The sequence below is a fragment of the Homo sapiens genome, chromosome 3 (genome assembly GCF_000001405.40).
Source record: "Homo sapiens chromosome 3, GRCh38.p14 Primary Assembly".
NCBI lineage: Eukaryota > Metazoa > Chordata > Mammalia > Primates > Hominidae > Homo > Homo sapiens.
The window spans coordinates 195,518,221-195,543,941 of record NC_000003.12 but is presented as its reverse complement, the minus strand read 5'-3'; the positions used below and the strand labels follow the sequence as shown (position 1 = coordinate 195,543,941).

The 25,721-nt window shown below is 40.4% G+C and overlaps 1 protein-coding gene and 1 pseudogene across 5 annotated transcripts in view, besides 3 other annotated features; both read left to right on the top strand.

The window, feature by feature from the left end:
- Positions 406 to 645: a silencer, noted in NCBI's record as "silent region_15039". NCBI's record gives its function as "represses an Ori minimal core promoter by ATAC-STARR-seq in GM12878 lymphoblastoid cells {active_cell/tissue: GM12878}" and the evidence as "EXISTENCE:reporter gene assay evidence [ECO:0000049][PMID:35858748]".
- PPP1R2 (protein phosphatase 1 regulatory inhibitor subunit 2) overlaps positions 617 to 25,721 on the top strand; it is a 28,898-nt gene continuing 3,793 nt past the window's right edge. Inside the window, exons 1-6 of one of the 5 annotated variants that reach the window (NM_001316325.2) lie at positions 617 to 1,038; positions 14,041 to 14,148; positions 16,040 to 16,184; positions 19,046 to 19,123; positions 20,156 to 20,250; positions 24,757 to 24,924. In NM_001316325.2, the coding sequence (NP_001303254.1) occupies positions 14,124 to 14,148; positions 16,040 to 16,184; positions 19,046 to 19,123; positions 20,156 to 20,250; positions 24,757 to 24,924 (511 nt within the window). In that variant the 5' untranslated portion in view covers positions 617 to 1,038; positions 14,041 to 14,123. Of the gene's footprint in view, positions 1,039 to 14,040; positions 14,149 to 16,039; positions 16,185 to 19,045; positions 19,124 to 20,155; positions 20,254 to 24,756; positions 24,925 to 25,721 lie in introns of all 5 variants that reach the window. The other 4 variants (NM_006241.8, NM_001291504.2, NR_133014.2 and 1 more) reach the window with 4 other exon arrangements.
- Positions 3,539 to 3,648: an enhancer, noted in NCBI's record as "active region_21057". NCBI's record gives its function as "activates an Ori minimal core promoter by ATAC-STARR-seq in GM12878 lymphoblastoid cells {active_cell/tissue: GM12878}" and the evidence as "EXISTENCE:reporter gene assay evidence [ECO:0000049][PMID:35858748]".
- Positions 5,766 to 5,995: an enhancer, noted in NCBI's record as "active region_21056". NCBI's record gives its function as "activates an Ori minimal core promoter by ATAC-STARR-seq in GM12878 lymphoblastoid cells {active_cell/tissue: GM12878}" and the evidence as "EXISTENCE:reporter gene assay evidence [ECO:0000049][PMID:35858748]".
- Positions 20,721 to 20,855, top strand: RNU6ATAC24P (RNA, U6atac small nuclear 24, pseudogene; annotated as a pseudogene).

The window sequence follows — 25,721 nt, the reverse complement described above, 5'->3', positions numbered from 1 at the left end:
GTGGGGGGAACCTGTCGCGGCCTCTGCGGGCCCAGGAGGTCCTTGGCTGGGAGATGTGTCCCTGCCGCCCTCCCGTCTCCTGCGCTCTCTGCCTAGACGGGTTGTGCGACGGCGGGGGTCGCTGCCCGTCTGTCCGTCGGCTTCTCCAGCGGTAAAAGGAGGTGAGGCGATTCCAATGCAGACATTCTATGATTTCATAATAGGCCTCTAAGGACCACTCCAATGCTGGCAGTCCATGCTTTTATAATAGGCAGTTCGGCTGTTTACACGGGCGAAATGGAAAGAGGAGATACCCGTTTTCTTCAAGTCAGCTAACCTCTCTGCGGAGTGACGTCACCTCGAGTCTCAGTCTGCTGATCTAAAAAATAAAAATAACACTACGGCCTCACAAGGTGGTGGGACGAGGGTGCTCGAGAGACGCGCGGGTCCGGGAAGCAGCAAGCCCGGGCGCTCTCCCGCAGGTTCTCAGAGACAGCTCCCGCCTCCCAGCGCCGCGCGGGGGCGGGGCGAGCAGCCCGGGCGGGACGGAGGGGGCGGGGCGAGGAGGTCGGCTTTGTTCTCGCCCCGCCCTCTCCCCGCCTCCTCCCTAGATATCGCGAGAGGGCGGGTCCGCTTGGCTTCGGCGTCGCGTCGCTCCTGCGCTGGAGCTCTAGGCCGGCGTCTCTCCGCGAGCCGCGGGTCAAGTGCCAGTGGCTAAGGGTGCGCGAGTAGCCGCCACCCGTTCGGCGTTGGCTCTGGCGTCGGGGTCGTTGTGTCGTGACAACCGCTGCGGTAGCCGTTTCCGAGGCAGCAGTTGCGGCCGCTTTAGCCCTGAGCGGGATCTGCGGCTGCCTGCGAGTCTCTGCTGTGCCGACCCTTCTCTTCGCGGACCCCACGCCAAGCAGCGACCCTGAGCCGACAGCCGGAGCGCCCGGCAATGGCGGCCTCGACGGCCTCGCACCGGCCCATCAAGGGGATCTTGAAGAACAAGACCTCTACGACTTCCTCTATGGTGGCGTCGGCCGAACAGCCCCGCGGGAATGTCGACGAGGAGCTGAGGTGAGCGCTGGGAGGGACGGCCTGGGAGCCCCTCCTTCCCGCCGGGCCCGTTACCTACCCAGACCCCAGGGGCGGGCGGGCGGCGTGGATGCGGCTCGGGTGCCGCTCGAGTCTCTTCTCCTGCCCGGCTAGCCGCGGGTGGGAGCGATCTTTAAGAAGGCTGGGCGATGACGTTTATCATGCTTCCTTTTTTTTTTTTAAGCATTTGGGCATATATAATATTTTTAAACATCATCTTTGAACTTTCTGTAATCGGGAACATCAAAGAATGAAATTGAAGCTTCAGATCTTCGACTGTTAAGCTTTTACTATTTCTTAACCTCATCTCTGAGGTATCTAAAATTCTTCGATAATTACAGTGTATTTTCTTGCTTTGGGAACCCTTTAAGATCTAGTCTCAAGCTAATAGGCGATCCGTCAAAGAAGAGACCATTTCCCCCATTAGCATTGTGCCACACTGTATTTCTGCATCTGCAACCAGAGTTTTGGGTGCTTTCTAGTTTTTGTTCCTGTTCAGAGATAGATCTAAGCTCAAAACAGTTCAAAGAGGAGCAACTTGAAATGACCCAGTGGTAATTTAGTTGCTCTTGCATACGCTAAAGATACACATGTAAAAAGTTGTTGACCTGAGCATTGTATGTAATATTTATAATATAATTGGAAACGACCGGAAGTCCATTAGTAAGAGCTGGTGAAATATTAATTACGGTACGTTTGTATAATGGAACAATATACTAGCCTTTAAAAAAAGAAAGGTAGGCGTTTATGCACGGAGAAAATGTTGCAGTACAGTATCTGTAGTGGGTTAGAAGTGCACGGGGGCTTGGGCGTTGCAAGATACTAAAAATAGAAGGACTCTACTTTCTGAAAATAAGGCTTAAGAAAAGTTACCATTGAAATTGGTAGTCAGAAGCTAAAATGAGGATGTTTGTGAAATCTCAGAATATAGGAACCTAGGGCATTCCTGGATAAAGGATCTTATTTAGGACCATAAAAGGAACTACTGCTTGGTGGTGGTAAATTTTAGGGATTTGTGTTACCTTGAAGGAAATATTGAGTAGGTTCATAGGTTAGAATCGTGGCCTTTTGGGGCTGGAAAGGACCTTAGTTTTTGTCTAGCAACTCCCACGCTCATGGATGCTTGAATCTTACATTCTCTCACACACAATTTTCCAACTTCTTTGGGCTAAGCCACGTTAAATGGAGTGCTGGGGGAGTGTGATGTGTAGGTCATGGAATTAAGAAGACAGAATTTCACCAGAACATAACTGAAGCAGGAGAACCAAGTTAGTTAAAAGATAAATAACATCCAGGCGTGGTGGCTCACGCCTGTAATCTCAGCACTTGGAGAGGCCAAGGTGGGAGGATTGCTTGATCCCAGGAGTTTGAGACCAGCCTGGGCAACATAATGAGACCTCATCTCTTAAAAAAAAAAAAAAAAAAAAAAAGGAAAGAAAAGAAAAGGAATTAAAAGATAAGTAACGTAACTACAGAAGGCTCAAATGTAGCTTCAGGGTTTTCAGCAGCAGGAATGTGGTCCTTACTGGCATTTATGTTATTTAGCTGTTCTCCAGTGTGAGTTTCTTTTGGTCCATTTACCAAGTGAGTTACTCTTTATCTCTGCTTCTTTAGTTTCTGTTTATTCTTAACTTGGATCTGCTGTAATTTCCCGTGGGCCCAATCTATGGATTGGCCTCTTTCTTTCTGTAATTGGTTGGGATTTACATTCAGGTCTTTCTGCCTCAAAAGCCACTATACTAGACTGACTCAACTGCATAGGGCTGCCTCTTCTGTAGTATCTGTGGCAGGGTAGATTCACTTAAAAGGGACTGACCTGTCGAGTTAGAGTTACAGTCCTGTCTTTAAAGAGAACTATCAAACCCTAATTCATTGAAGTTCATGATGTTTGGTTCCAAGTGGTAAAAAGGATGGGTTTTTTAATGATCCTTGTTATGTGACTGTAAAGCAAATAAACTAATTCTACTAGTAATACAATATAGTCTTAGTCTGTTTTCTGTTGGTCATAACAGAATGTCTGAAATGATAATTTATAAGAAACTGAATTTATTTCTTACGGTTCTGGAGGCTTGGAAGTCCAGGGTCTTAAGGGTGCATCTGGTGAGAGCGTTTTTGCTGGTGGGGACTCTGTGGAGTTCCAAGGTGGTGCAGGGCATCACATGGCAAGGAAGCTGAGCGTGCCAGCTCAGGTCTCTCTTCCTCTTCTTATAAAGCCACCAGAACCACTCACTTGATAACCCATTAATCCGTGAATAGATTAATCCATTCATCAGAGCAGAGCCCTCATGACCCAGTCACCTTTTAAAAGCTGTGCCTCTCCACACTGCCACATTGGAGATCAAGTTTCAACGTGAGTTTCAGAGAGGACAAACGTTCAAACCATACCAAATATACATTATTATTTGTCACAAGTCATGCAAACTTTATGAGATCCTCTTTGAACAGAAACAATAAATATACAGTTGGCCCCCTCCACAAATTCAGCCAATACCAAATAGCCCTTTACACTTGGGAGCCATTTTACACACCAGATTCACCAACAAAAATGCAGGAAAGGACCCTAAATAGGCCACGAAAAGGACACTTGTTTACAGTACAAGAGCTGAAACAAGAAAGCAGAGCGTCGCCTTGTTTGACCCCATCTGGGAACATGCTACCTCGGCTGTGAACGGTGCACTGGGCAACTCAGAATCTGCCCTGCTCTGTGGCTGTCTGTGAGCAACTGCTAACGGACCTCAAATGCTAGTTTTGGGATTACACATTTTAGCAAGTAGGTAAACTTGCAAAGAAAGAATCAGAGAATAATGAGAATGAACCCTACCTTTTATAGGTGTCTTCGTTGTGTAAAATGCGATGATAGTTTGACTCCTACCCATCCCCCAGTTGTGAGAGGATGTTATTTTACGTAAATATTACCAAGGAATTTTTAAAAATAGAATTCAAACATACTTCAGATATATGTCTGTAATTCATATATGGATGTACTACTATCATTAGATAATTCTCAAAACTCAATGTCCACTTAAAGTGAGGTTTATATAAAGCCATATTCAGATAGTCTAGCATTTCTATTTTTTTATCCAATTGTCAGGACCGATCAAACCATCATTGAGGGGGGTTTTATTTTTTTAGATGACTCAGTGCTGTTATTTTCTTATTGTTTATACTTTGCATTAGTGCTTACGTCTTTTTTTGTTTATTTTTGAGACAAGATCTCATTCTGCCACCTGGGCTGGAGTACGGTGGCACGATCACAGCGCACTGCAGCCTCCATCTCCTGCTCTCAAATGATTGTCCCACCTCAGGCCACCACACCCAGCTAATTTTTGTATTTTTTGTAGAGATGGGGTTTTAGTATATTGCTCAGGCTGGTCTCAAACTCCTGGGCTCAAGTGATCTGCCTGCCTCCCAGAGTGCTGGGATTACAGGTGAGAGCCACCATGCCCCACCAGTACTTATGTCTTTAATGAGTGGTTTCTACAGGTACCATTTGTCAGATACCAATTTTTGAGGGTTAAATTAAAACTGGATAGAATCCATAAATCCACATAACTAAGTATAGATAAATCTCAGTACATTGCACCACAGCATTCAGCTGTTTTAAACACCACTGTCATCTTCGATCATTGTGGACTTCCCATTCTTTCAGGATACCTTGAATATAGGGCACAACTTATGAAGGTCTAATTTAGCAGGCCTAGTGAGTACATATGTGTATCTTAATGAAAAGAAGACACTGTTGATTCTAAGATGTACTATCCAGGAAGAAAAAATACTGCCAGCTATGATTATAAGATGCCATCCTTTTAAGACATGTTCTTTTTCAGAGATGTGAAAATGTAAAAAATGTGTTTTGGGAATTATTGAAAATATGACAGTAAATATTGCTAAAGCCTATCATTTGAGAAGGATTATAGTTTAGTGGTTAATCTGGTGCCAGATTGCCTGGGTTTGAATCTTGTCTGCTGCTTATTAGCAAACTTTATTAGTTGTGATTTTCAGTGAATTATTCATTATATCTGTGCCTTAGTTTAAATATTAAATGAATTAATAAATGTAAAGTGCTTAACCCAGTGCCTTACCCTCAAATGTTAGTCTTATTGTAATAGAAATAAATATAGAAATTCATTTTTTCCATATCTCAGCGGGGTTTTTACACAGTCTGCTTTGGAGTTCACTATTCTGTTCAATTCAAATTCTATAGTAGTCTTAGATAATGCAGGCAAATTCTGCTTGAAAAAATTATGCCTTAATTTCCTTTGATGTAATTTAAGATATAAACAAGCTTCAACTTTGTCTTTTTCTGCCTATAAAGGGATGTGGAATATTATAGTCAGAGGTTTACTGAGTAAAATAAAAATTTGTTTTCTAAAAGTTACTTTTTGCTTACTTGTAATTGCTTTTATTGTTAAGTCTTACTTTAATTGTTCAGTAACGATATCAGGCTTCGAAGTCTTATATTGTGTCAATCTATATAAGTTGAATCTTCATTTAAAGAAAGAACCATTTCTTGAAATGTGCAATTAAAGTTAAATCACCTTGAAGCAAAATCTTGCTTCCCATTCCAGACACAGTCACAACTTATCAAATGAGCAAGTCACAAGCAACAAGAAGTTCCAGTAGGTCTTCTTAAGGTGGCACCATATGAGCTAACAAAGTAAAAGTGAGAAGCGGTGACGTTTTCAGCACCAGATTTAGGCTGTAGGAAAACCAGTCACCCAAGAGGGTGGGGGAAAACTGAAACCAGCAGGTGCTTTCACCATCATGGCAGATCTGCCATGTAAATGGTGGTGCCCCTATTTTTGTCTGCAGGGATACTGACCTCAAAGGAGGTCATACAGTTCATGATGGTACTGGGATTAAGCTCAGGCTCACTCCTTGGGTTTTGCTATTCCACAACTAATGTTAATTCTGCCATCACTTTAGAGATGCCGACTTTCATATCCAGTGTCCCCTGCTGACAGTTTCTTCTACTTCACTAACTTTCGAAGATTTCCTAGCATTTTTGGAGTCTGTTTTGTAATACCGTTATTTAAATGCTTGTTTTTGCAAGCTATTGTTGTCTTTTTTTGGATCTGAATAATTGTACTAATTTTTTTTTCTGTTAGTGTTCTGTTGAGAAAACAAGTTGAGTGAGACTTTGAATATTTAGAACTTAAAATTTCATTTACAGAAGAAAGTAAACTAAATGGCAAACAAACTGGGAAAAATTGAAGTTATATAAAATGTGGTTTATATAAATCTAAAGAGCTCAAATTTATGGGAAGATTTCTGATAGGCAAAGGATGTAAACATAATTCACATGAGGAAATTAGGCAAAGAAACAACAGTTTTAAAATACTGTTTTATACCTGCTGAAATGGAAACACACACACACACACACACACACACACACACACACACAATAGCTAATCCTAGCAATGGTTTGGTAATTTACTGGGGACGTTACAAACAGTCCTCTTTTTTTAAAAAAAAATCTGTATGGCAACATGGAGTGAACTATAAAGTTCTTAATAAACTTTAATTCAGACTCTTACACTAGCAAATTTTCTTTAAAACAGCATTGAATAGCATATATACAAATATGTTCATGTCTGCCTTATTTTAAATAGGAAAACTTATTTAGGTTATCAATCTAAATGAATCTTATACAGTCATTAAGAAGGTAAAAAAACACAAGCAACTTATACTACATATACTTAAAACTTATATATCAGCATATGTATTGTATATATACTGTATGTACTGTTTTATATGTATAGTTATATATATTTTTATGTTTTGATAGCTTATACATATTTATATGTATTATACAAAGGGAAGAATATGCTGAAATCAAAATTATGAATGGCTTAGGGTGCTGGGATTGTGTTTATTAAATTTTATTTTTAATTTCAAGAAAACTTAATTTCTGCTTGTGTTCTGTAGTTCTTTTTCTTCAATCCTTATCTTGCAAAAAATATTTACAGGATGTGGCGTTCTTTCTTTCCCATTAGAGATACTTTTTAAACTCCAGAGGTCTTTCCTCATTCTTTTTTTTATCCTAAGCAACGATGATCAGTTGTCGTCGTTGTCTTTTTTTTTTTTTTTTTTTTTTGAGACGGAGTTTCGCTCTTGTCGCCCAGGCTGGAGCACAATGGTGCAATCTCAGCTCACGGCAACCTTTGCCTCCTGGGTGCAAGTGATTCTCCAGCCTCAGCCCCCTGAGTAGCTGGGATTACAGGCATGCGCCACCAAGCATGGCTAATTTTTGTATTTTAGTAGAGACAGGGCTTCATCATGTTGGCCGGGCTGGTCTTGAACTCCTGACTTCAGGTGATCTGCCCACCTCCTAAATTGTCATTTTTAATTCAATATTGTTAACATCACTTAGGAAGTAACTTGTTTTACTTTGAGATTAACAGGCACCCCCAAACAACATTATTAATATGTGTTTATTTTTAAAATATTTTATTACAGTGTAATATACATACAGAAAAGCATATTAAGTATAAATTTAAAGTGTCAGAAATTATTGCTAAAGCACACACTGGCTGGGTGCGGTGTCTCACACCTATAATCCCAGCACTTTTTTTTTTTTTTTTTTTTTTTTAAAGACAGGGTCTCGCTATGTTGCCCAGGTTGATCTCAAACTCCTGGGCTCAGGTGATCCTCCCACTTTGGCCTCCCAAAGTGTTGGGATTTATAGGCATGAGCCACTGTGCCCAGCCCCCCAAAACTTAACTACTGGTAGCCTCCTGTTGACTGAAAGCCTTACAGGTAATATAAACAATTGATTAACTACATGTTTTGTATGTTACAAGTATTATGTTACTGCGTTCTTATAATACAGTAAGCTAGAGAAAAGAAAATGTTAAAATCGTAAGGAAGTGGATCATCATAAAGATCTTTATCCTGGTGGTCTTTCACATTGAGCAGGCTGAGGAGGAGGAGGGGTTGGTCTCACTGTCTTGGGTGATAAAGGCGATAGAAGGAGAGGCAGGCTCACTTGGTGTAACTTTACAAAAATACATCATAATTTATGCCTAACTTTTGTGCTTTTTCGTTTCTCTTAAGATGCTTCTATGTGGTACTAATAATCTTCCTTCTACTGTTTAGTTTCAGTGTCCATATCATAAAAGCGTCCATGTTGTAAAATAAGCCAAGCAGTCTCAAATAGAACTCTTGGTCAGATTGTCTAGTGTCAATTTGTTTCCTGGCTTTGCTTCTTCTACATATTCTTCCGTATCCTCTGGCACTGATTCAGAAGCACTCATCTCTATCAAATCATCTTCTGTTAATTCCTCTGGTGTGATGTCTGTTAGCTCTTGAATTTCAGGATCCATATCTTGAAACCCTTCACCCCCACCAAATAATCCACAATCTCATTAGTTCCTTGATTGGCACTGTCGTAAATCCCGTGAAGTCATGCGTAACATCTGGATACAGTTTTCTCGAGCAGGAATTCATTGTTTGAGACTTGACAGCTTTCTTAGCTTTTTCTGTAACAACAATGGCATACACAGTGGTGAAACCCTTCCAGACTTTCATGATGTTCTCCATGAGGGTTGACAGTCTTTTCCATAGAGCAAGGATCCCCACACCCCAGGCCACGTGGCAGGTGCCTGAGCTCCACCTCCTGTCAGATCAATGGTGACATTAGATTCTCATAGGAGTGTGAACCCTATTGTGAACTGTGCATGCGCGGGCTCTAGGTCGCCCACTCCTTATGAGAGTCTAATGCCTGATGATCTGAGGTGGAACAGTTTCATCCTGAAACCTTCCCACCCGACCCCACACCACGCAAAAGTTGTCTTTCCCGAAACCGCTCACTGGTGCTAAAAAGGTTGGGGACCACTGCGTAGAGTGCCATGTGTGCTGAATCTTAAAGGTCCTCTGTGACCCCCGATCTAGAGGTTAAATTGGAGATGTTGTGTTTGAGGACGAGTAAACCACCTTGACACCTTTATAGGGTTGAACTCATAGGGTTCATAGGTGGCCAAAGAGAGACATTGTCCAGAATCAAAACAACTTTAAAAGGTACTTTACTGCCAGGCACGTGGCTTGAGCCTGCAGCCCTAGCTGCTCAGGTGGCTGACACAGTCACATCACTTAAGCCCAGGAGTTCGAGGCTGCAGTGAGCTATGATTGTGCCACTGCACTCCAGCCTGGGCGATGGAGTAATGCCCTATCTCTCTTTTTTTTTTAAAAGCAGTTCTGTATTGGCAAGGTACTTCCTTACCCTGGGGACAGAACATGGACGGAACCAGGAGGGTTCTCGTTGTCCAGACCTTCTACAACCACAAGACTGGCAGCTGGTGTTTATCTTTTCCCTTCAAGGCTCCGGGGTTAGCAGCTTTATAGTTAAGGACAGTTCTGATCATAAACCCTACTGCATTGGCACAAGACAGTAGAGTTAGCCTGTCCCTTCCTGCCTTAAATCCTGATGCTTGCTTCTCTTTTCTTATAAATAAATGTCCTTTGTGGCATTTTTTTCCCCAGAATCAGGCACTTTTATTCTCATTAAAAACCTGTACAGGCAGATCAGATGTCCTTTCTCCTTAATAATTTTTTCTTTTTCTGGACAGTCTCACTTTGCCACCCAGGCTGGATTACAGTGGCTCGATTGCAGATGGCTCACTGCAGCCTTGACCTCCTGGGCTCAGGTGATCCTCCCACTTCAGGCCACCCCCAAGTAGCTGGGACTGCAGGTGTGTGTGTGCCATCATGCCTGGCTAATTTTAAAAATTTTTTGTAGAGATAGTGTCTCACTATGGTTGCCCAAGCTGTTCTCAAACTCCTGGGCTCAAGAGATCCTCCTGCCTCAGCCTCCCAAAGTGTGGGATTACAGGTGTGAGCCATTGCACCTGGCCCTTTCTCATTAGTGATTTTCTTAATGGCCTCTGGGAACTCGTCTGCAGCCTGTTGGTTGGCAGAAGCTGCTTCTCTGTTATCTTGTAATTTTAAAGCCAAACCTCTTTCTAAAATTATCAAACCATTGTTTGCTCGCATTAAATTCTCCAACTTTAGATTCTTCACCTTCTTTTTGCTTTAAGTTATCATATAGTGACATCATTTTTTCTCAAATCATATTAGAGTCTATAGTCTTGTACAATCCTGCACTCACATAAAAGATGCATCGGCAATACAAAAGGCACTTCACAAAATATGCAAGGTTTTCATGCTGGTATCGCTACTGCAGTGACAGCTTTGTGAATTTCCTTTTATTTGATTTTATTTTTACAATGGTCTTTATGGTGGATTCATGTTTAAATGATGGGCAGCCGCAGTTGCAGAGCTCCATCTAAGGTACTCATCAAGCGTTCTACTTTTTCTTGTAATGTCACAACTTTGCTTCTTGGGAATGCTTCCAGCATCTCTAGTGGCATTTTGTATGACTCCCATGGTGTTACTCAAGGTTTACAATATTGCACTAAATAGGATAAAAAATACTCAAAAACCAAGACAGATCACTTTTTATTGCAACAGGCAATTTACTGGAGCAACAAACTACTCACACTGAAACAACTAGCATCATAGAGCTTTTTTTTTTTTTTTTCCTGAGGCAGAGTCTTACTCTGTTGCCCAGGCTGGAGTGCAGTGGCATGATCTCTGCTCACTGCAACCCCTGCCTCCCGGGTTCAAGTGATTCTTCTGCATCAGCCTCCTGAGTAGCTAGGACTACAAGCGCAAGCCACCATGCCTAATTTTTTTGTATTTTTGGTAGAGACGGGGTTTCACCATGTTGGCTAGGCTGGTCTCGAGCGCCTAACCTCAAGTGATCCACCTGCCTCAGCCTCCCAAAGTGCTGGGATTACAGACGTGCCTGGCCGCATCATAGAGCATTTTAAGCAAACTTGCAACACTTGAGGAGACTGCAGTAGCAACAAGAGATAGCTGTGAAACTGTGACATAGAATAGTATGTACTGTAGTTAATTTTATGCAGTTATGATCCAACTGCAGATCCAACACCATGTGTTGTATGTGCATGTTTTGATAAATTTTAACGTTACATTTTAACTAGGCTTGTGAATATTTTATGGTAGTAAATGATAAAGTAGACTATTCTCTATGTATAATGCACTTATGACATAACTAACTTTTAAGGTTTTTTTAAATATTTCTGGGCTATGTGGTTTATCTGAGTTTCTTCAAATTGTCACAAGCCTCCAAAAAAATTTCCAGTAGATTTGTTGAAAAAAAATCCGCATATAAGTGGACCCACACAGTTCAAACTCATAATATTCAAGGGTCAACTATAAATAGAGTCCAAGAGAAGATTTTTTTTTGGCTTCTCTATAGTAAAGGGTAACTGAAACTTGAACCTTCAGTGTCTGTCTCCCGGTTAAATTTGTTTTTTGTTTTCTGCCACAAGCTCAACTATGTGACAGGCAGAAGCCTAGGCATCTGAAGACATCGGTATTGTTAAAGCAAGCTCTGTTTACCCAGTCTAGTTCAGTCCCAGAAGAGTGTGATGAGTTCCCTTAAAAATTACACAGTCCCACTCCTGGCAGGTGACTTTTTTCAAATACTAAGGACATATTAATTTGATTATGGCCAGGTGTGGTGGCTCATACCTGTAATTCCAGTACTTTGGGAGGCTGAGGCAGGGGAATTGCTTGAGGCCAGGAGTTTGATACCAGCCTGACAACATAGCAAGACTCCACCTGTAAAAAAAAAAAAAAAAAAAGAAAAAGAAAAAGAAAAATTAGCTGGGCATGGTGGTGCGTACCTGTGGTCCCACCTAGTCAGGAGGCTGAGGCAGGAGGATCACTTGAGTCCAGGAGTTCGAGACTGCAGTGAACTATGATCATGCCACTTTACTCTAGCCTGGGGTGACAGAGACCCAGTCTCTTAAAAAAAGAGAGACATTCTGACACATGCTACAATATGAATGAACCTTGAAGACATTATGCTTAGTGAGATACGCCAGTCACAAAAGGACAAATACTTCATGATTTCGCTTCTGCGAGGTACCTAGAGTGGTCACATTTCTAGAGATAGAAGTAGAATGGTGGTTGCCAGGTCTAGGGGCTGGGGAGAGTGGGGAGTTAGTACTTAATGAGTACAGTTTCAGTTGGGGAAGATGAAAAAGTTCTGGAGATGAATGGTGGTGATGCTTGCACAATGATGTGATGTTCTTAATGCCATAGAATTGTACACTTCGTAATGGCTAGTGCTTACTTCAGGAGCACGTGCACTAAAATTGGAATGATACAGGGAAGATTAACCAAAAAACAAAAAGGTTAAAATGGTGAATTTTATGTATGTTTTACCACAATTTTAAAAAATGAAGAAAAAAAGTGCTTAGTCCGAAATGGGGACACTGTGGGTATATTAGGGTAGAAAGCAAAAGAATACGAAGTCACCTGCAAGAGTAGGCCTGTATAATTTTTAAGGTAACTCATCAAACCATTTTGAGAGTATGGAAAAGGGAATATGTTATTAAAATGTTGAGTATGTTATTCTTAAAGGGTATTTCAGGATCTGGGAAATTGAAAATACCTGCAGTAAAACCTTAACAATTTAGACCAAATGTGGAAAGCATTATTTAAATCAGTGTAACATTTACATTGATTCTTTTTAAGGCAGGTTTTTCCAAGTACATACTAAGTAACAAACTATATGTAACAAAATAATGTTGGCTTGTAGAAAGGTCTTTGAGGTCTTTTTTAAGGAGTATGTAAGCATTTAAAATGAAAGCATTTAATTATCGAGCACCTTAATAGTTGTGCAAATACTTCATTGCATGAAATTTAACAGATGTTTCTAAAGTACTTATAGGCCAGGCACGGTGGCTCACTCCTGGAATCCCAGCAGTTTGGGAGGCCCAGGCAGGCAGATCACGTAAGGTCAGGAGTTCAAGACCAGCCTGGCCAACATGGTGAAACCCCGTCTCTACCAAAAATACAAAAATTAGCCAGGTGTGGTGGCAGACACCTTTAATCCCAGCTACTCAGGAGGCTGAGGCAGGAGAATCGCTTGAACCCAGGAGGCAGAGGTTGCAGTGAGCCGAGATCGTGCCATTGCACTCCAGCCTGGGCGACAAGAGCAAAACTCTGTCTCAAAAAACAAAAATAATGGCCCGGCCTGGTGGCTCACACCTGTAATCCCAGCACTTTGGGAGGCCAAGGCAGGCAGATCACGAGATCAGGAGTTCAAGACCAGCCTGGCCAACATGGTGAAACCCTGTCTCTCCTAAAAATACAAAAATTAGCTGGGCGTGGTGGTGCGCGCCTGTCATCCCAGCTACTCGGGAGGCTGAGACAGGGGAAGCGCATGAACAGGGAAGGTGGAAGTTGCAGTGAGCCGAGATGGCGCCACTGTACTCCAGCCTGGGCAACAGAGTGAGACTCCGTCTCAAAACAAAACAAAAATAATAAAGTACTTAGAGAGAACGTCTATTGCTCTTCAAGTAGGTTTGAATACACCATTTCTGAGCAAACCTTTATTTTTCTAGATTAGAAATAAACAGAGCTGTAATTTATTTGCAATCTAATGATTTAGTGGTGTCTGAGTTTGATGAGGTTTTCTCTATAGTTTTATTGTTTGAATCTTTATGTTCTGAGTGTTAACAGATATCCCAGAAAGAAATTATGCCAAGGAAGTACTCCTGTTGTGTTTTTTACCGAACAGTTACTGATATATAGATCAAAAATGCCTACTGACTTCAGCGAATGTATAGATTTTGACTTGCATTATTTTATAGGCCAAATGAAGGCTAAGCATGTCATAGTATGGTAATGTTTTGAATGCCTGATATAGATACTAAATATTGTGTTTTTAATATGTGGGCACTAGGTGTTCTATATTTACTGACATTTTATTGTAGTTACTTAATGGTTTTTACCCTGAGTCAGCTTCTATTCCAAGAAAGTATATGTGAAAATAGAGGTTGGCCATCAAATAGAAGTTGAAATGTTAAATTTGGACATTTGTGAATTTTGATATTCAGGTTTATCTTTTTCTGCATTGGGAAAAACGTTTTTTCTTTTTAATTTTAGCAAAAAATCCCAGAAGTGGGATGAAATGAACATCTTGGCGACGTATCATCCAGCAGACAAAGACTATGGTTTAATGAAAATAGATGAACCAAGCACTCCTTACCATAGGTAATGTTACGTAGACGTCATTCCTCTTGTGACTTACTTCCATTTTGCATTTCATATGAACGTCTGGATAACAGCCTATTTGAATTTGTTTTATTGTAGATTTGTTACTGGAGCACTAGTGAAGTCAGTAACCTAACTGCAATTTGTTTAGTAATGGTTTAAGTGATGTGTAAGTTTAAAATTAAGAAAGCCATTTTGTACATTATAATGGTAGTAGTAAATGTTTATTTGTTGCACCTCAGTGGTTGCTAGCTACTAATGGTGCATATATTAGTTTTAACTTCCATGAAAGGAAGATGAGATATGGGCTTGTTTGCTTCCCAAGTAGAAATCTGGGGTTTACTCAGTCTCTTTGCAGAGAAGCATAACTGCATGGATGGTAACCCACTGAAAGATAGGTGTCATTATTACTGTTTATGTCTTCATTTTTTAACTTAATGTAATATTGTTGTTCAGATCATTACATGTAATTTTTGACAATTTCAAGTCTCAGAATTTCCTAAATGAATTGTGAAATTACATTACGCAGCAGTAACCAGTATGAAGACAAAAATAATGCAAGAAGCATTATGAGAAGATGAGGATTCTAAATAGGTATAGATACCTAATTAAGATAATACCTTGGGCCGAGCACTGTGGCTCACGCCTGTAATCCCAGCACCTTGGGAGGCCAAAGTGGGCGGATCACCTGAGGTGAAAGACCAGCCCGGCCAACGTGGTGAAACCCCATCTCTACTAAAAAAAAAAAAAAATACAAAAATTAGCCAGGCATGGTGGCGGGCACCTGTAATCCCAGCTACTCGGGAGGCTGAGGCAGGAGAATTGCTTGAACCCGGGAGACGGAGGTTGCTGTAAGCCAAGATCACACCATTGCACTCCAGCCTGGGCGACAAGAGCAAAACTCTGTCTCAAAAAAAAAAAAAAAAGATAATACCTTGGCTGGGCATGGTGACTCTTGCCTGTACTCCCAGCACTTTGAGATTACAGAGGCAGAGGTGGGAGTATTGCTTCAGGCCAGGAGATCAAAACCAGCCTAAGCAACATAGTAAGACTCTTTCTACAAAAAAAAAAAAAAAAAAAAAAAAAAAAAATAGTTATGCCCTACCTACCTTGTATTGAAAAAAATAAAAGATTTCCAAGATTAAAATATTTTGTCATTGAATTAAGACAGCATAAATCCAAAAGTTACCATTAAAATAGAGGTAACTGCTGTTTCCATTTGTTCTGTAGTGAAAGAAGAGTTAAGAACTACTGTATTTTAAGTCAGTGGGTGAAAACTTTGGAAGATAATTTGAAATAACCTGTTACTAACAAAAACAGTAAAAATAAAAAACTTGAAGATATTAAAGACTGATGAGCATAAAAAGAAATAATGAAATAGGTACAGATGCTGAAACTCAATACTGATGAAATTTGAGTGAAGAAATACACAGTTTTTTGTGGTATATATGTATGTACCATGGAATATATATAAAAAGGAACAAAATAATGGCATTCACAGCAACCTGGATGGAGTTGGAGACCATTACTCTAAGTGAAGTAACCCAGGAATGGAAAACCAGACCTTGTATGTTCTCACTTATAAGCGGGAGCTAAGCAAAGGCATAAGAATGATACAGTGGACTTTGGGGATGGGAGGGGTGAGAGGGGGTTGAGGGATAAAAGACTACACATTGGGTGCCGTGTACACTGCTCGGGTGATGGGTGCACCAAAATCTCAGCAATTACCACTGAAGAACTTACCTGTGTAACCAAACACCACTTGTTTCCCAAAAACCTATTGAAGTAAAAATAAATTGAGGGGAAGAAAAACAATAAAATTACAATTAGTTAAAAAAAAATACGCATGCTAAAAAGAGGTTTATATTCTTATTTTTCTCCTAAATTGCAGGTATATACTTTAAAAATCTTAAAAAAAAAAAAAGATACAAGATCTGGCTATGTTGCCCAGTGCAGTGGCTATTAACAGGCACAGTTATAGCACACTACAGCCTGGAACTCCCGACTCAAGTGATCCTCCCTCCTCCGCCTCCCAGGTAGCTGACTATGGGCACACATCACCGTGCCCAACTTCTAAAATGTATATTAAAACCTTTATTGTACCAGAATCCAAAATCAGAGTGTACTTTCTTTTTACTAAATGTAGTGGCCATCCGTCACTCACTTGTGTTAGTTGGGGATAAGTATCCTAGGAGAATTAAGATCAGACATGATTTAAAAAAATAGTTGAGGCCAGGTGCAGTGGCTCAACGCCTGTAATCTCAGCACTTTGGGAGCCTGAAGCAGGAGGATCGCTTAGCCTCCCAAAGAATGCTGTTTTTTATTTTTTATTTTTTATTTTTTTGAGACAGAGTCTCACTCTGTCACCCGGGCTGGAGAGCAGTGGCACGATCTCAGCTCACTGCAAGCTCCATGTCTCAGGTTCAAGAGATTCTCGTGCCTCAGCCTCCCAAGTAGCTGGGATTACAGGCACCCACTACCACGCCTGGCTAGTTTTTGTATTTTTAGTATTGACAGGGTTTCACCGTGTTGGCCAAGCTGATCTCAAACTCCTGACCTCAAGTGATCCACCCACCTCAGCCTCCCAAAGTGTGGGATTACAGGCATGAGCCACCACGCCCTTCCCCAAAGAACTCTTGCCCAGGAGTTCAAGACCAACCTGGGCAACAGAGTGAGACTCTTATCTCCACAAAAAAAATTAAAACAAATTAGACTAAGCACAGCAGCTCACGCCTGTAATCCCAGCACTTTGGGAGCCTGAGGCGGGTGGATCACCTAAGGTCAGGAGTTCAAGACCAGCCTAGCCAACATGGTGAAACCCCGTCTCTACTGAAAATACATAAAAATTCCCAGATGTGGTGGTGGGCGCCTATAACCCCAGCTACTCGGGAGGCTGAGGCAGGAGAATCACTTGAACCTGGGAGGCAGAGGTTGCAGTGAGCTGAGATCGCGCCATTGCACTCCAGCCTGGGCAACCAGAGCGAAACTCTGTCTCAAATAAAAAAAGTAAAATTATCCAGAGGTGGTGGTGTGTACTTGTAGTCCCAGCTAGCTAGGAGGCTGAGGCAGGAGGACTGTCTGAGCCCTGGAGGTTGTAGCTGCAATTAGCCATGATCACGTCATTGCACTCCAGCCTGGATGACAGAGGGAGACCTTATCTCTAAAGAAAAAGAAAAAAAATTTCAGAATAGCTATGGCCATTATTTTTTGACTGTTTATAAATATAATTTGAATGGTAGATATTTGCCATTCAAATAACCAGAAAAGTTATTTGGTCCCTAAGTAATTGAGGCTATGTGCATGCAGAGATAACCTGTGTCCTGCTTTTATCAGTTCACTGCTCAGTTTTATCATTTCTTTCCATGACTTTCTTTTTTCTTTTTGAGAGTTTCATTTGGCCAGCCATGGTAGCTCATCCTTGTAATCCCAGCACTTTAGGAGGCTGAGGTGGGAGGATTGCTTGAGCTCAGGAATTGGAGATGAGCCTGGGCAACATAGAGAGACCCCGTCTCTACAAAAAATAAAAAGAATTAAGCCAGGAATGGTAGCACATGCCTGTAGTCCCAGCTACACAAGAGGCTTAGGTGGGAGTATCACTTGAGCCCGGGAAATTGAGGCTGTAGTGAGCCGTGATGGTGCCACTGTACTCCTGGGTGACAGAATGAGACCCTGTCTCAAAAAAAAAAAAAATTTTATTTAAGTGAAGATGCTTTTTATAGAAACATCATGTCTTATTATCTAAGAATCTCACAGTTAGTATACAAGAAGTTATTGCTTCTGTATACATGTACATATATAAACATAATTCAGTAAATTTTACAACTAGAATTTTCTATAGAACGATTCTATAAATTAACAAAATGTTTATTTTACCTTACTTTGCTTGATTAAACTCAATAACATAGATCAATTTCAACTTCCCTTAGAAAAAAGAACGTCATCTAAACTATAGACTTACTTGTCACCTTAATTAACCAGGAAATGTATAAACTGGCAGTATTTTATAAATAGCTGAGTTCTGCTTTATATACTTTGCAGTGGCTTAAGAATTAAGGTTGCCCATTTTTGCATTGAAGTGGGGAGCAAATTTTTCATTAGAGGGTAGAGTGAGAAAGCTAAATCACTTGTAAACTTCCGAAATTAGATCTTTGGGATCGAATTTTGTTACTTTACTCAGTCTTGTGTCTGCGTAGATCTTTTGTCTCTATCTTAAGATTGATGTAGAAATACATGTTCTAAAACCAGACAGTGATTTACTTTGCATTACTTGTTCCTTCCCACTGGATGGAATAATTGGAACTTTGTAGTATTTTTTTTTCCAGATCATTTACGTTTTCAGTACAGTTATTCCTCATTATCCATGGAGGTTTCAGGACCTCCCTCAGATACCGAAATCCTCAGACACTCAAGTCTCTGATATAAAATGGCATTGTAGATGTATATAATTATGCACATCCTCCTGTATGTGTTAAATCATCTCTGTGTTAGTTATATTACCTAATAAAATGTAAATACTGTGCAAATAGTTGTTACACACTGTATCATTTAGGGAATAATGATAAGAAAAAAGTCTACATGTTTAGTACAGAGGAAATTTTACTTTTCTCTGGCTATTTTCAATCCACGGTTGAATTCATGGATGTGGATCCTGTGGATATGGCAGGCAGACTGTATTTATGTGTTTTTTTTAATCATTTGGAGTCTTTTCTTGATTGGGTGCTGTACTTTTAAGTATTTGTATTGAATAGGAACTATATAAAGTTAAACCTCAAAGATATCAACAGAGCTATAAATATATTGATATGTTAAGTAGGTTGATGGAATTGTTTTTCTCCCTTGTTTTTGTGGCTGAAAATGTATGTTTCAGGTATTAATTACAATGTGCTTGTCATACTAGTATGATGGGGGATGATGAAGATGCCTGTAGTGACACCGAGGCCACTGAAGCCATGGCGCCAGACATCTTAGCCAGGAAGTAAGTACTAATGACCGGAGCACATTTTCACTTAGGCTGTTTATAATCGTGCAGAGTTGAAAGCAGCCTGCGTGGCTGTCCCTGTATGAGCGGGAAGAAAAGGCTGTTGATCAACATGTTTTATGCCGACTTTTTTTTCCTTTTTTCCCCCTTTTTTCACCTTCTGAGTCACCAACTTTTATAGTCTTGTCTCTTGATTAAAATCAAGGTATGTAGGTGGCAGGAAGACCAGCGTACCTGCACTTGGGATACTGAAATGTGTCACTTCCCTGTGGGGGGTTTTATTTGTTTTCTGAGACAGAGTCTCGCTCTGTCATTCAGGGTGGAGTGCAGTGGTGTGATCTCAACTCACTGCAACCTCCACCTCCCAAGTTCAAGCAATTCTCGTGCCTCAGCCTCCCCAGTAGTAGCTGGGATTACAGGCCCATGCCACCAAGCCTGGCTAATTTTTGTATTTTTAGTAGAGACAGTGTTTTGCCATATTGGCCAGGCTGGTCTCGAACTCTTGACCTCAAGAGATCCGCTGGTTTCAGCCTCCTAAAGTTCTGGGATTACAGGGGTGAACCACCGCGCCTGGCCCCTGCTTCCTGTTTTTAAAGGTAGCAGTGAGAAAGGCAAAAATAAGTTAATTCATAAAAGCACTCTTCCTTTGCTACTTACTGATTTCTAGCACCCATTCCACTGTTCTTGTCTATGCCCATTTCTACTCTTTTTATTCTTTTTTTTTTTTTGAGACAGGGCCTTGTTCTATCACTCAGGCTGGAGTGCAGAGGCGCAATCAAAGCTCATTGCAACCTCAAACTCCTGGGTTTAACTAGTGCTCCCACCTCGGCCTTCCAAATAGCTAGGACCACAGGCGTGTACCACCATGCCCGGCACGTTTCTGCTCTCTTGCCTTTTATTTTCCTCATCAGGTTATAGCTAGCACATTAATGATCTTCAGATGTTTTTGTAAGAATCAACAGTTGAATAAGGCGCTTAAATAATATCAAAACATCACTGTTAATTTCTTTGTACATGATTGTTGCATAGATTAGCTGCAGCTGAAGGCTTGGAGCCAAAGTATCGGATTCAGGAACAAGAAAGCAGTGGAGAGGAGGATAGTGACCTCTCACCTGAAGAACGAGGTAGTTTATTTCCTTTACTGCTTTCATCATGGTGCTAGTAATTTTTGCTAAGATAAATCCATTATTTGGAAGATGAGCAAATGGTTTTCATTTTGGGGACACACAGGGGAGGAGAATGAAAGCAACATCTTTATAATTCAGATACTACTTGTGTGTTTTGTTGTGTAATAGTTTTTTACCCCTGATTTCAAGAATATGGGGAAGTATTACCATCTTTAAAGTAATTATAAGTATTATTTTCTTTGTACTTTTTAGTGCAGAGTAGATACTCAGTAAATACTTTTTAAATTAATGCATTTCAAGTCATTGAGCGTTTGGACGGTCTTAAAGTGGGTAGCTGAAAGAGCTAATTTCCCAGTTGCTTATGCTTTTTGTGTTGTTGGACAGTGATGCAACTTAACAAATGAACCAAGATGATCAGATGCAGAGTGAAGGTCTTTATTAGGTCCCATCAATCAAAAGGAGCAGTAGTGTCACAGGAAGGGAGATGGAGACAGCCCTCCCCTTCACAGGGATGGAAGAGGGTCTCGTAGGCCATTCAGCACATACACATTTAAGGCATTGCTGCCTGCTCGTGCTTTCTGTTTCCACAAGTAAAAGTGGTTACCCGTGGAGGCTGGGAGAAAAGGAGTATGTCTTATCTTGTTGCATTTTATACTTTTTGATTCATGTGAATATATAATCTTCTCAGGAGTTAAAAAATTGTGTATAGTTTATTTGCAACTATTTTTAAAGGAAAATCCAAGCTTGTGGGTAGAGGGGAAAGATATAAGAAAAGCACATACTCACAAAAAAGAGGAAGAAGGAAAATATGGTAGAAACCTACTTGAAGTGTTGTGGCGTAGGGACTACCTCCTGTACCGTGAAGAAGCTGAGAAACTTTAGAACGAAGGATCTTTGTCGTGTAGCTGCTAAGATATCATTTACTAGTCTTTCCTATCATCTTCAGAATATAGCCTGTTCAACAGAGCTATGATGGGCTGAGCCTAATATTTGTACGAGAGAAATTTTACATGTAGCATATTCTCAAGTTGTATTGTATCTCAACTTTCAGTGACTTTCCATTTATTTTCCCAAAATATACCCCAAAAGATCCTTGAAAAGTATTTCAAATAGAAATAGTTTCTGGAGTTTGTTTCCTCATTACTCTCTAAAAACATGATCTGTTGAGAATAAGGAATTTTTTGTTAATGTCAGTTTTAATTGAGGGATGTTTTTCTCAAGTTGTGATTTCATGAGTCAACCAGCAGGGGGAGCCATTTGACTAATTATAATTTCATTAATTCATTTTCCACTGGTGGGGTTATTACTGAATTATATAGATGTTACGTGGCTGAAAAATTGTTGTCTATTGACAGTAGATAGCTTAGGGAGAAAAACTGTAACTCACAGCATAACAATTAAGATTATTGTCTAAGAAGACAGACAAACCTAAGTTTGTGCTCCAGGTATGCCACTTGGCTAATTTGCATAATTTCTCCGAGCCTCCGTTTTCTCATTTCTAAATTGGCAGCTGTAAAAATATTTTGGTGACTACTAAATGAGTTAAAGCATTTAAAGCACTTATCACTGATCTTGGCATATTGTGAGCACTCACTAAATACTAACTTTTAACAACTTAAGATATTCCCCCATAAAAAGTAAAAGTAGGTATAAAAAGAATAATTCACTTGTTGTATTCATATAAATAGTCTGCCTTAACCTTTTTAAATGTTAGTTATGACTTATTAAGAATCATGATGGCCGGGTTTGGTGGCTTATGCCTGTAATCCCAGCACTTTGGGAGGCTGAGACAGGAGGATCTCTTGAGGCCAGGAGTTTGAGACCAGCCTGGCCAACATGGCGAAACCCCATCTCTACTAAAAATACAAAAATTAGCCAGGCATGGTGGTGGGCGCCTCTAATCCCAGCTACTCGGGAGGCTGGGGCACAAGAATTGCTTGAACCTGGGAGGTGGAGGTTGCAGTGAGCCGGTATCATGCCACTGCACTCCAGGCTGGGTGACAGAGTGAGACTTTGTCTTTAAAAAAATAAATAAGTACATAAATAATCATGATGCACAGTTTCAAAAACACTGGCTCATACTGAGAAAATAATAGAACAAATGCACAATATATTTTATATATATAGTCTTAAAAACATTGAAAATTGCTGATATACCTTCACAAAATAAAAACAAACCAAAAGAAACATTGAAAACATGAAGGAAATCAGAAATCTTTAACCAAAAATAGGGAATTAAATTATGACTCAACAACTTGTAACGATTTTAAAATTACATAAATCATTATGGCAGAATGTTTACTGTATGTTCATATACTTTATTGTCTAAACTGGGTAATTATTGCAGTTCTTTTTTTTTTTTTTTTTTTTTTTTGAGACAGAGTCCTGCTCTGTCGCCCAGGCTGGAGTGCAGTGGCGCGATCTTCGCTCACTGCAACCTCCACCTCCCAGGTTCAAGTGATTCTCCTGCCTCAGCCTCCTGAGTAGCTGGGATTACAGACGTGTGCCACCACGCCCAGCAAATTTTTTGTATTTTCAGTAGAGACGGGGTTTCACCATGTTAGCCAGGATGTTCTCAAACTCCTGACCTCATGATCCGCCCTCCTCGGCCTCCCAAAGTGCTGGGATTACAGGCGTGAGCACTGCGCCCGGACTTCAGTATAAGTTTTAAAAATATAAGTATAGATGTTGATAAAAGCTTAGGGAATTAAGAAAGTACTGGCCAGGTGCGGTGTCTTACACCTGTAATCCCAGTGCTTTGGGAGGCTGAGGCAGGTGGATCACTTGAGGTCAGGAGTTCAAGACCAGCCTGACCTACATGGTGAAACCCCGTCTCTAGTAAAAATCAAACAAAGAGAAAGTACTTTGGAGGCCAGGTGTGGTGGCACGCATCTGTAGTTCCAGTTACTTGGGAGGCTGAGGTAGGAGGACTGCTTGAGCCCAGAAGTTGGAAGCCAGCCTGGGCAACAGTGAGATCTCATCTCTAAAAATTAAAATTTAAAAAAAAGAAGAAAGTACTGTAAATACCCTTATTGAGAGATGTCTCTGCTTTTTAAAAAGTAAATAAATAAATTTTTGAGCTACGGTCTCACTTGTCAACCCAGGCTGGAGTGCAGTGGCATAGTCGCGGCTCACTGCAGTTTCAGCCTTCTAAGCTTAGCCAGTCCTCCCATCTCAGCCTTCCCAGTAGCTGGGACCACAGTCGTGTACTACCACACCCAGCTAATTTTTTGTAATTTTTTTGTAGAGATAGGTTCTTGCCATGTTGCCCAGGCTGGTCTTGAACTCCTGGGATTACAGGCATGAGCCCCAGCATCTGGCCTCTGTGCATTTTTGACATTGAAATATTTTGATGAAATTTTTAATAAAACAATGGTGAAGCCAGGCGCAGTGGCTCATGCCTGTAATCCCAGCACTTTTGGAGGCCAAGGCAGGCGGATCACCTGAGGTCAGGAGTTGGAGACCAACCTGGCCAACATGATGAAACCCCGTCTCTACTAAAACTACCAAAATTAGCCAGGAGTGGTAGCACATGCCTGTGATCCCAACTACTCGGGAGACTGAGGCAGGAGAATCGCTTAAACCTAGGAGGCTAAGGTTGCCGTGAGCCAAGATTGCACATTGCACTCCAGCCTGGGCAATTAGAGTGAAACTCCATCTTGAAAAAAAGAAAAAATAAAACAACGGTGAATAATTTTAATGCTGTTCATTGGTAAAATAGCTGGCAATTTTATATTGGCCCCCCCTTTTCTGTTGTTTTTTTTTTTTTTTAATTTTCTGATCTAAGGAAGTTAAAAACCTTAAAATTATGTATTCATAAATAGTTGCTCTAGTGTGATCAGTTGTGTTGCTGCCAGCTTTATGTTTCTATGGTGAAGACTAAAATGAAATATTTTGGAGTCACTTCACCATTACTTTATAATACGTTTTTCTTAAAATTACTCTGAAAATGAGGTTACGTTTTTAGCCAACAATGTCTTAAATCATGGCAGTTTCTTAACAGGTAAGAATTGTTTTAAAGGATTTTTTCTTAATTATAAAAATAGAAAATAATAAAATATTAAAACTACTTCATTGTTCCTTGACTCAGAATTAAACACTGTTAATTGCTGAGTCTTATTTTTCTCTCTGTGTGTGTATGTGACAGGCATTGTACATAGTAAATATAGTATATGGTGTTGTAACTCGCTCTTTTGTCACCATTTAACTCTTTCTGGATAATTTTCCCATAGCTTTAATCTTTCTTCACAAATATAATTTCTAATGGCTGGATATATTCTTGTTCTTCCATTGAGATGAATGCCAGATAGTAAATATTTTAAATTTTGCAGGGCCCAGTGGTCTCTATTACGAACTACTCAACTCTGCCATTGAACACAAAAGCAGCCTTAAGCATGACAAAAACAAATGAGCATCACTGTTTCAATAAAATTTTATTTATAAAACAGGCATGGGCCAATCCTTGAGCTCAAACTTCCTAAGTTTACATTTTGCATCTTATAGAAAAAAAGCGACAATTTGAAATGAAAAGGAAGCTTCACTACAATGAAGGACTCAATATCAAACTAGCCAGACAATTAATTTCAAAAGACCTACATGATGATGATGAAGATGAAGAAATGTTAGAGACTGCAGATGGAGAAAGCATGAATACGGAAGAATCAAATCAAGGTTAGATGTTTGGAAAATGTCACTGAGACTTTTGTAATGGTCTATGCCTAAGATAATGTACTTTATTTTGCTTTAAACTTGTGAAAAAACAGAAAATTTTGCTGAGATTCGCTTTATTATACCAAATGTTTCTAAAGTTTTAACCCGCATGGCCAATTTCAGAATAATAAAGTTTTTATACCTAGAGTTGATTTGATTTTAGACCATATGTTTTATTATATGGCTTTCTTATGGTTTACTTGCCTTTAGGCAAGGATGTTTGTCTTCATATTAAGCTATATTTTGTTTTGAATATTTTAGGTCATGTTGTATTTGTCATAACGATCTAAAATTTAAAATTTTTAAATGAAACTTTTTTTTTTTTTTTGAGACAGAGTCTCGCTCTGTCACCCAGGCTGGAGTGCAGTGGCGTGATCTCGGCTCACTGCAAGCTCCGCCTCCTGGGTTCCCGCCATTCTCCTGCCTCAGCCTCCCGAGTAGCTGGGATTACAGGCGCCTGCCACCACGCCTGGCTGATTTTTTGTATTTTTAGTAGAGATGGGGTTTCACCATGTTAGCCAGGATGGTCCCAATCTCCTGACCTTGTGATCCGCCCGCCTCGGCCTCCCAAAGTGCTGGGATTACAGGCATGAGCCACCGCGCCCAGCCTGAAACATGTTTTTAGTATGGAAGATTTGGTTTTACATCCCGTTAGATACAAAGTATGTCATATCTTTCCAATACGGATTCTTTTGACTGTTGGATTGACAAGTTATTTAACTGTTTTTGTTTTTATTTTTTTTTTAAGTCTTAGACAC